General features: G+C 43.6%; 1 protein-coding gene across 1 annotated transcript, besides 2 other annotated features; it reads right to left on the minus strand.

The window, feature by feature from the left end:
* Positions 1-385: 385 nt before the first annotated feature.
* On the minus strand, positions 386-3,176 carry PRR23C (proline rich 23C). The gene has a single exon (NM_001134657.1). It carries the CDS (start codon positions 2,902-2,904, stop codon positions 2,116-2,118), a length of 789 nt encoding a protein of 262 aa, NP_001128129.1. The 5' UTR covers positions 2,905-3,176; the 3' UTR covers positions 386-2,115.
* Positions 5,526-5,779: a silencer, noted in NCBI's record as "fragment chr3:138766084-138766337 (GRCh37/hg19 assembly coordinates)". NCBI's record gives its function as "represses an EF-1alpha promoter that drives an FKBP-Casp9 reporter gene in an ReSE screen in HepG2 liver carcinoma cells {active_cell/tissue: HepG2}" and the evidence as "EXISTENCE:reporter gene assay evidence [ECO:0000049][PMID:32094911]".
* Positions 5,982-6,182: a silencer, noted in NCBI's record as "peak4845 fragment used in MPRA reporter construct". NCBI's record gives its function as "represses an SCP1 promoter by STARR-seq MPRAs in K562 erythroleukemia cells {active_cell/tissue: K562}" and the evidence as "EXISTENCE:reporter gene assay evidence [ECO:0000049][PMID:32103011]".

A 10,835-nucleotide genomic window follows, 5' to 3' on the forward strand; every position in this document is an offset into this window, starting at 1 on the left:
GGGAGGGAAACATCACAAACTGGGGCCTGTCGGTGGGTGGGGAGATAGGGGAGGGATAACATTAGGAGAAATACCTAGTGTAGATGACGGGTTGATGAGTGCAGGAAACCACCATGGCACATGTATACCTATGTAACAAAACTGCACATTCTGCACATGTACCCCAGAACTTAAAGTATAATAAAAAAAATTAGTGCTGTATATGGTTATGTAAAACAAACAAACTAAACATTCAAAAAAAGGCAAAAAACAAACCAAGGTGGAGTTAGAATCATATAAAATACTGTAGAATAGCAGAAATGCAAAGATACTTAGTAGTTAGAAATTCTATTAGCACAAATCACCATGAGTTGATTAAGAAAGAAATTACAAAAAGTCATCTTATGCATACAGAAAAAAAAGTTTCTTTAATTTTTAACATTTAAAACCTTAAATGCACCCTACAGTTACTGCCTTTCTCCTTCCACTTGTGTCTTCTCAAGTCCTCATAAAGCATCCAATTGTTTTAAATCCCTGAAGCCCAAAGCCTGGTCTCATTAGCGCTCTTGCCAGGTTTCTGTACGTACTCTTGTGGCCCAAAGGTTCCATCTAGCTATTGTATTGTATTATTGTATACACACAAATAATTAAATGTCAACATTTAAAACAACTTGATAACATCTTTGTAGTAACAGGCAAAAACAAAGCAAAAATTCAACAGTTTTTCATGATCTGAAAGACTGAAAATTAACTGCTTCAATAGATTAAGGGTTATCTAACAACCATGTAAAGATCATACTTTATGGTAAAATTTAGAAGCATTAACACAAGGCATAAAACAGGAATGCCCATATTAACCATACTGTTCAATCTGGACTTGAAGTAATGTCCAATATAAAAGATTAAAGAAAAATAAGATGTATGAAGCTTGTCAAAAAAGACAATATTCTCATTATTTGGAGATATTGTTTTTATCAATCAATCAATCAATCAATTGAGAATCTACACATACACCATTAAAGAAATTCAGTAATTGCATTTGATACATCAACCTAAGAAACAAATTATTTCCGGCTGGGTGCGATGGCTCGTGCCTGTAATCCCAGCACTTTGGGAGGCTGAGGTGGATGGATCACCTGAAGTCAGGAGTTCGAGACCAGCCTGGCCAACATGGTGAAACCCCGTCTCTACTAAAAATACAAAATTAGTCGTGTGTGGTGGCGCATGCCTGTGATCCCAGCTACCTGGGAGGCTGAGGCGGGAGAATTGCTTGAACCTGGGAGGCAAAGGTTGCAGTGAGCTGAGATTGTGCCATTGCACTCCAGCCTAGGCAACAAGAGTGAAACTCTTGTCTCAAAAAACAAACAAACAAACAACACACACACACATACACACACAGAGTCTTAGAATTATAAGCTTTTCCAGGATAAAATAATTATATTAAAAACATAGAAGAAGAAATGAATGGAAAAGAGCTGGCTCTAAGAGTTAGGGGGGAAATAAAGCCCAATAACATAAACAATTTGCTAAACCAATCATGAAAAAAAGGAGGGTACATGATCATTATTCCCAGTTCGGTCTGTTTTGCAAACAACAAACATTTGTCCAGGTACAACTATGTGCAAGATCACCCAAAAGGGCTCAGGCCACCATAGGGAAAAATTCCATGTTGAGAAGGTCGTCATAAACTAGCCCAGAGACTAGGGCCAAAACCCATTAAACAAAATAAATGTAGTAAATTAACTTGGGAGAAAAGGTGTGCCATGGTAACGTGCTGGGGAAAGGGCGGATTTTTAGAGAAATGTGCTGGAACTGAGGTTCAAAGCAAAACCAGGGGGAATGGAGCTGCCTAGGGGTGACTTCCAAACAAAACAGGCCCGAAGCAGCAATCTCACAGTCTGAAAGTAGACTGTATTTCAACTAGCGTATTTTTATGCTGAGGAGGAGGATCTTTTTTTTCCAGACTTTCTAAGTCAGCCACTGATCCAGAATTCTGCAACGCAGCCTGTATCAAAAAAGCATCTATCCGTTATCCACTCTCCGAGATCCTTGTAGGTTGCGCAACATACACACAACGGCTATCAGGAGACGGTCTCCTGGAGCCCAGCAGGGTGGCAAGGGATTGTGGGAGGCAACTCATTCCTGGAACAGGCGTCTTCGGACCTTGCACGGAGGGCGCTCTGGGAGCTCCGGGCGCGCGTGGGGACCTGGACTCGGAGAGGGAGGTAGAGGTTGGAGAGGTGAGCTGGGGACAGGCTCCAGAAGATGGAATTCCAGGTCGAAGATGGGGCGTGGAGAGCGTCTCTCTGAACTGGGGTTGGGGGCCAGAGCACAGGGCCCTCGGATGGGGCCCTCCCGGTAGGGGCTGAACATACTTCTAGCGGAGGGGTAGAGCCCAGCGGCTGAGCCGGCTGCGGAGTCCATCCAGAGCTCCGGGAACTCAGAGTCCGCGTCCTCCTCGTAGGCCTCTTCCTCGGCAGCGATCTCTGGGACAGATGCGCAGACTTCCTGCTCGACGACGACGTCTTCCCCGTGAGCGCCCAGGAAAACGTCCACTTCCAGGCCGGCAGACCAGTCGCCCTGCGCTCCTGAGCATTCGTCGACGGAGCTCAGGAGGACCTCGGGGATCACGATGAGGGTGTGTCCACCAAGAGACACTCGCAGGACCGACATTGGCGCGAGCTCCAGCACCAGGTCGACGTCCTCCAGGGGCACACGCAGGGCACAGCCCGCGTCCAGGACCACCATGGAGGTGAGCGCGTCCACGGCCGGGGTCCCCGCCGGGTCTTCCGGGCTGGGCGCCGCTCGGGATTCGGGGCCCGCGGGCTCCTCCAATCGGCTGCGCTTGGCAGGGCCTGGTCCTCCTGGCTGCTGTCCCCACCAGGGCGCAAGGCAGGCGCTGGGGCTGCAGGGCCGGCTGCCCATCACCTCGACGGCGCTGCGGACGGCGCTCCTGGGCCTGGCAGGGGACGTGGGTGCGGGGGGCTCGGGGCGGCGAAGTCCTCTTTGAGGTAACAGGTGTCGGCAGGACCGCGCGACGCGGGGCGAGTCCTCGGAGCTCTGGGGGCGCCTCCCGGAGATCGGAGTCGGTGCTGCTGCTGGGGGAACCTCGCACGCTGTGTGGCTCAGCCTCGCGCGATGGAAACTTGGGCCTTCCTGACGCAGACCCGGATGCGCACTGCAAAGCCAATTATGTTGTAAATGACGGCAGCGGAACCGAAGTCGCAAAATGTCACGCAATCCTCTGCCCCCTGGAGGACCCGCCCTAGAGGCGGAGGTACACCTGCTGCCCAATAGCGGTGGCTGTGGTTGGTCGGTGGCTGTGGTTGGTCGGTCACGCTGGGGAAATACTCTTACGGGCCGCTAGGGGGCCGAGCATCTGTGCCGCTCTAGGGCCTGGCTTCCAGTATCAAGTTCTTGTCCTTTGCGTTGACGTCAGACGCGGAGTTGAAGAGCGATTCAGGTTCAAGTAACACTAGTGGAGTGCCAAACCAGGACACCGAATCCTAAACCCATATTCCCAGGCCCCGTCCCGGAAGTGCCCTGCGCGTTACTATTGACGGATAGTGGCGTGCGTTTTTGAGTTCTCCTATCTTGTACATCGATGTAATATCCTTTTAGGGGTCTTGGAAGGGAGGGTAAAGCTGAGATCCTGCGTGACAATGGCAGGTCCTGCATTATCTGTTTATTATGATAGTTGGTACTATAGTAATTACAGTCTTCCCTTGATATCCCTGGAGGATTGGTTCCTGGACTCCCGCATGGATACCAAAATCTACAGATGCTCAAGTCTCATATAAAATGGTGTACATTTGCATATCACTTACATCCTTCCGTGTATTTTAAAGCATCTCTAGAATACTTATAGTACCTAATACAATGTAAATGCTATACCCCTGGTTGCTACACAGAGTTTCATATATATATGGTTTGTTTGTTTCTGAGATGGGGTTTCATTCTGTTGCCCAGGCTGGAGTGCTTTGGTGCAATCTCTGCTCACTGCAACCACCACCTCCTGGGCTCAGGTGATCTTCCACCTCAGCTTCCTGACAAGCTGGGATTACAAACACGTGCCACCACACTCGGCTAATTTTTGTATTTTTTGTGGAGACGGGGTTTTGCCATATTGCCCAGGCTGGACTCGAACTCCTGGGCTCAAGCATTCCACCCGCCTTGGCCTCCCAAAGTGCTGGGACTACAGGCGTGAGTCACTGTGCCTGACCTTATATATATGGGTTTTTTTTGTTTTTTGTTTTTTTTTTTGAGACGGAGTCTCGCCCTGTCGCCCAGGCTGGAGTGCAGTGGCAGGATCTCGGCTCACTGCAAGCTCCGCCTCCCGGGTTCACGCCATTCTCCTGCCTCAGCCTCCCGAGTAGCTGGGACTACAGGCACCCGCCATCTCACCCGGCTAATTTTTTTGTATTTTTAGTAGAGACGGGGTTTCACCGTGTTAGCCAGGATGGTCTCGATCTCCTGACCTTTTGATCCACCCGCATTGGCCTCCCAAAGTGATATATATTTTTTATTGTGTTATTTTCCTTTTTTTTCCCGAATATTTTTGGTCTTCTGTTGGTTGAATCTGCGAATTCGAAACCTGCGGATCCAGAGGGCCGACTCTATTATGTTACAATCAGCTGAAGTATGGTTAACTTTATCTAATTTGACCTAAACTACAGCTCTGAGGTCTATCTGTTTTAGCCCAATTTATGGATGATGAAAATGTCATGCAGAAAGGTTAGCCAACTTGCCCAAGAGCCAGTAACTACCAGAGCGGGGTCTGGCTTGTCCAGCTCCATTTAAGGTGATAGACCTACACAATGTCAGCGTTTTTGACCTGTGTCAGCTGAAAGGCACCTCTACGTCACGTGTCCAGGCGGTAAAAGGGAAGGTGTAGCTCAACTAGTGTTAATAGGAGAAAATACTCAGCACTGATTTTGGAATAGTAATATTTTCAAGTGCTTACAGGGGACAACAAAGCATTTCCTGACATCTTTGCTAAGCATGTGATGATCCCACCTTGGCGGGAACCATTATTACATTTTATCATTCCAAAATATTCTTGGGCATTTAAAAGCAAATCTCATACATGTTATTTATCTCCCTCCCCTTTCTACAAAATTTATTCTTTTTTAGGGTTGCATAGCATTCCTTTGGATAGTCTTTACATTTAAATCAAGTCTCTCTTGCTGGACAGTGGTCTGTCATCACTTGGTGGCACTGTCATCCTCTGGTAGGTTCATGGAAAATGCAGATTATTTGCCCCATCCCAGAGCGACTGAATTACAATTCTTGGAACGTGGGGATTAGGTAATCTATGTGAGCACCTCTAAAAAATTCTATTTTACTCCAAAGTTCAAGATCATTGAACTTGTTTTCATTTCTCAGTTGAGGAGTTCATGAAGCCCGGTGGCTTATGCTTGTGATCAGGGACCTGCTTGTTGGTGTCAGTGTTATGGAGGGAACTCCAACTTTCTGGCTGTGTTCAATGCTTTTCTTAGCACAGCTGGCCCGCTTCGGGTGGATTTCCGGTGGCTGTCCAGTGGTTGCGTGGTGGGGAATTCTCCTGGGATCGAGTGGCCTGAGACTGGGCACTGGCCGGGGTAACCAGGGTCCAGGGCTGTGTTGGATGGTGGCCCTGCTGGGAACCTGTGGTTCCTGCGGACACCTCCCGCCAGGAGAGTGTGGGTGCAGCCAGAACCCGCCTCCAGCTCCTAGGTGAAAGAAACAGCAGCTCAGCGCAAGCATCCAGGCAGAAGGCGGTGGGGGTGGAGCCTGCAGGAAACTGCCTGCTTTGGTCCAGTAGAGTTTTGTCTAGACCCTTGAACCTTCTTGCAGAGAACAGTGGGGGCACCATTCAGAAGCAAGGGTGGACGTGTCATGATGTATGGGGTAGATGGGCAAGCATAGATTCTGTCAGCATACTGGGAGGGGGTCGGGGCTCGGGGTTCCTGGCTAGGCCTCCAGCTCTGAGCAGGGTGGCGCCTGTGGCTTGAGTGGTGCCACCTCCTGTCTGCTGCTTTCCTGACCTCAGCGGTCTCACCTGAGAGCTCCTCAGTGTCCTGGGCCTTGTGACTTAACCCAACACTCTGCTTGCTCTAAATCCTCCCTGTGAGCTCTCTTTCCAAGTGAATGTGGTCCTGCTCCAGGACAGAAGTAGTTAGCGGGGGTCCTGGGGCAGACACATCTGGTTTTCTCTCCTGGCCGGCCACAGTCTGATTGGGTGATCATGGGCAAGTCACTTCACCTCTCCTAAACTTCAGTTTCTTTATATGTAAAATGGGGAGAATGCCATGTACTGTGACAGATATATATATATATATATATATATATATATATATATATATATATATATATATCATATATTCTTTATCCATTCATCCATTGATAGACATTTAGGTTGATTCCATATCTTTGCTATTGTGAATTGTGCTGTAGTAAACATGTGAGTGCAGGTATCTCTTTGACATATTGATTTCTTTTCCTTTGGGTAGATACCTAATGGTGGGATTGCTGGATTGAATGGTAATTCTATTTTTAGTATTTTGAGAAATCTCCATACTGTTTTCTATAGTGGCTATACTAGTTTACGTTCCCACAAACAGTGTACAAGAGTTCTCTTTTCTCTGAATCCTCACCCACATCTGTTATTTTTTGTCTTTTTAATAATAGCCATTCTGACTGGGGTAAAATGATATCTTATTGTGGTTTTGATTTTCATTTTCTTGGTGATTAATGTTGAGCATTTTTTTCATATACTGGTTGGCTGTATGTCTTCTTTTGAGAAATGTTTATCCATATCCTTTGCCCACTTTTTAATGGGACAATTTTTTTCTTGTTGAGCTATTTGAGTTCCTTGTATATTTTATCTATTAGTCCCTTGTAGAATGAATAGCTTGCAAATTTTTTCTCCCATTCAACAGGTTGCCTTTTCATTTTGTTGATTATTTCTTTTGCTGTGCAGGGGCTTTTTCATTTAATTAAGTCCCATTTGTCTATTTTTTTGTTTTCTATGCTTTTGAGGTTTCAATGATAAATTCTTTGTCTAGACCAATGTCCAGGAAAGTTTTCTCCAGTAATTTTGTAGATTTGGGTCTTACAGTTAAGTCTTTAATCCATTTTGAGTTAACTTTTGTATATGGTGAGAGATAGGGGTTTAGCTTTATTGTTCGGAATGTACCTATCCTATTTTCCCGGCACCGTTTATTGAGGAAGGTGCCCTTTCCCCATTGTAAGTTCTTGTCAGCTCTGTTGAAGAGCAGTTGGCTGTAAATATGGTGGCTTTATTTCCAGGTTCTCTATTCTGTTCCATTGGTCTATGTGTCTATTTTATAGCTATACCCTGCTGTTTTGGTTACTATAGCCTTGTAATATATTTTTAAGTCAGGTAATTTGATTGATGCTTGCAGCTTTTTTCTTTTTGCTGAGGACTTTGGCTATTTGGGCTCATTTTTGTTTCTATAAAAATTTTAGGATTTTTTTTTCAAATTCTGTGAAGAATGATGGTATTTCAATAGGGATTGCATTCAATCTGTAGATTGCTTTGGGCAATATGGTCATTTTATATTTTATTTAATTTTATTTAGAGACAGGGTCTTACTGTGTTGCTCAGGCTGGAGTGAAGCGACATGATCACAGCTCATTGCACTCTCAAACTCCTGAGCTCAAGTGATCCTCCCACCGCAGCTTCCTGATAAGCTAGGACTACCAGTGTGTGCCACCACATCCAGCTAACCTTTAAAATTTTTTGTAGAGATGGAGTCTCACTATGTTTCCCAAGTTGGTCTCGAACTCCTCATCTCAAGTGATCCTCTTGCCTCAACTTCCCATAGTGCTTGGATTATAGGCATGAGCCACTGTGCCTGGCCAATGTGATTATTTAAGGGTACTAGTTCTTCTGATCCATGAGCGTGGCATGTTTTTCCATTTGTATGATCTTCAATTTTTTTCATCAGTGTTTTGTAGTTCACTTTGTAGAGATCTTTAACCTTCTTGGTTACATTTATTCCTAGGTATCTTATTTTATTTTATTCTTTATTCTTTTCTTTTTTTAAAAAATAGAGATGGGGTCTCACCATGTTGCCCAGGCTGGTCCCAAACTCCTGGGCTCAGGTATTCCTCCCACCTTGGCCTCCCAAAGTGCTGGGATTAGAGGCGTGAGCCACTGCGCCTGGCCTAATTTTTTTTAGTACCTATTGTAAATGGGATTGCCGTCTTGATTTCTTTCTCGGCTAGATCATTATTGGTGTATAGGAATGCTCCTGATTTTTGTATGTTGATTGTGTATCCTGCAACTTTACTAAATTCATTTATCAAATGTAAGGAGTTTTTTTGGTGCAATCTTTAGGTTTTTCTAGATATAAGATCATATTATCAGCAAAGAGGGACAATTTTACTTTCTCTTTTCCAATTTGGATCATATAGCATTGCTATGATATCCATGATCAATGCCATTTGGCATTGCTATAAAAGACTACCTGATTCTAGGTAATTTACAATGAAAAGAGGTTTGTTTATATGGCTCATGGTTCTGCAGTAGCATGGCACCAGCATCTGTGTCTGGTGAGGGTTATCAGGGTGCTTCCACAAATGGTGGAAGATGAAGAGGAGCAGATATCACATGGTGAGACGAAGGAAGAAAGAGAAGGGAGGTGGCAGGCTCTTTTTAACTATCAGATTTTGTGGGAACTAATAGAGCAAGAATTCACTGATTACTGCAAGGATGGCACCAAGCCATTCATAAAGGATCTGCTCCTATGACCTGAACACCTCCCACCAGGCCCTGCCTCCAACAATGGGGATCCAATTTCAACATGCGAATTGGAGGGGACAGATACCCAAAATACAACATCAGATAGCTTTTCCTTCTTTCTCTGGCCTGATTTATCTGGCTGGAACTTCCAGTACTATGTTGAATAGGAGTGGTGAAAATGGGCATCCTTGTCTTGTTCCAGTCCCCGGAGGAAAGGCATTCAATTTTTCCCCCTTCAGTATAATGTTAGCTGTGGGTGTGTTGCATATGGCGTTTATTATTTTGAGGTATATTCCTCTGTGCCTAGTTTGTTGAGAGTTTTTATCATGAAGAGATGTTGAATTTTATCAAATACTTTTTCTGCATCTATTGAGATGATCATATGATTTTTATCCTTCATTCTGTTGACCGGTTTTATCACATTTGTTGATTTGCATATGTTGAGCCATCCTTGAATCCTTTATATAAATTCCACTTGATCATGGTGTATTTTTTTTTTTTTAAATGTGCTATTGGATTTGGTTGGCTAGTATTTTGTTGAGGATTTTTGCATCTAAGTCCATTAGGGACATGGGCCTGTCATTTTCTTTTTTGTTGTGTCCTTGTCTGATTTTGCTATCAGGGTGATGCTGCACTTATATAGTGAGTTAGGGAGAATTCCCTCCGCTTCAATTTTTTTGAATAGTTTCAGGAGGATTGGTATTACTTCTTTGTATATTTGGTAGAATTTGGCTGTGAATCCATCAGATCTTGGACTTTTCTTTGTTGTGAGACTTTTTATTACTGATTCAATCTCACTACTCATTATTGGTCTATTCAGGTTTTCTATTGTTTCCTGATTTAATCTTGGCAGATTGTATGTGTCCAGGAATATGTCCATTTCCTCTAGGTTTTCCAGTTTGTCAGCATGTAGTTGTTTATAATAGTTTCTGATGGTCTTTTGTATTTCTGTGGTATCAGTTGTGATGTTTCCTTTTTCATTTCTGATTTTATTTGAGTGTCCTCTCTTTTTTTTTAGTTTTATTTATTTTTATTATTATTATTATACTTTAAGTTTTAGGGTACATGTGCACAATGTGCAGGTTAGTTACATATGTATACATGTGCCATGCTGGTGTGCTGCACCCATTAACTCGTCATTTAGCATTAGGTATATCTTCTAATGCTATCCCTCCTCCTCCCCCCACCCCACAACAGTCCCCAGAGTGTGATGTTCCCCTTCTTGTGTCCAAGTGTTCTCATTGTTCAATTCCCATCTATGAGTGAGAACATGTGGTGTTTGGTTTTCTGTCCTTGCGATAGTTTACTGAGAATGATGATTTCCAATTTCATCCATGTCCCTACAAAGGACATGAACTCATCCTTTTTTATGGCTGCATAGTATTCCATGGTGTATATGTGCCACATTTTCATAATCCAGTCTATCATTGTTGGACATTTGGGTTGGTTCCAAGTCTTTGCTATTGTGAATAGTGCCGCAGTAAACATACGTGTGCATGTGTCTTTGTAGCAGCATGATTTATAGTCCTTTGGGTATATACCCAGTAATGGGATGGCTGGGTCAAATGGTATTTCTAGTTCTAGATCCCTGAGGAATCGCCAGTGTCCTCTCTTTTTAGTGTAGGTAGCAGTTTGTCGATTTTGCTTATCTTTTCAAAGAACAAATTTTTCATTTTGTTGATTTTTTATGTTGGATTTTTAGTTTCTATTTCATTTAGTTCTGCTCTGATCTTTATTATTTCTTTTCTTTTGCTAATTTTGACATTAGCTTGTTCTTGCTTTTCTAATTCCTTGCGATGGGTTGTAGATTGTGGATTTGTACCTTTCTCCCTTTTTGATTAGGCATTTATTGCTATAAATTTCCTTTAGCACTGCTTTTGCTGTATCCCTCAGGTTTTGGTATGTTATGTTTCCATTTTCATTTGTTTCAAGAAATTTTATTTCTTTATTGATCCAATGGTCATTCAGGAGCACACCGTTTAATTTTCATATATTTGTATGATTTTCAAAGTTCCTCTTGGTATTAATTTGTGGTTTTGTTCCATTGTAGTCTGAGAAGATACTTGATATGATTTTGATTTAAAAAATTTTTTAGATTTGTTTTGTG

This window comes from Homo sapiens, chromosome 3, assembly GCF_000001405.40.
Source record: "Homo sapiens chromosome 3, GRCh38.p14 Primary Assembly".
NCBI classification, from domain to species: domain Eukaryota; kingdom Metazoa; phylum Chordata; class Mammalia; order Primates; family Hominidae; genus Homo; species Homo sapiens.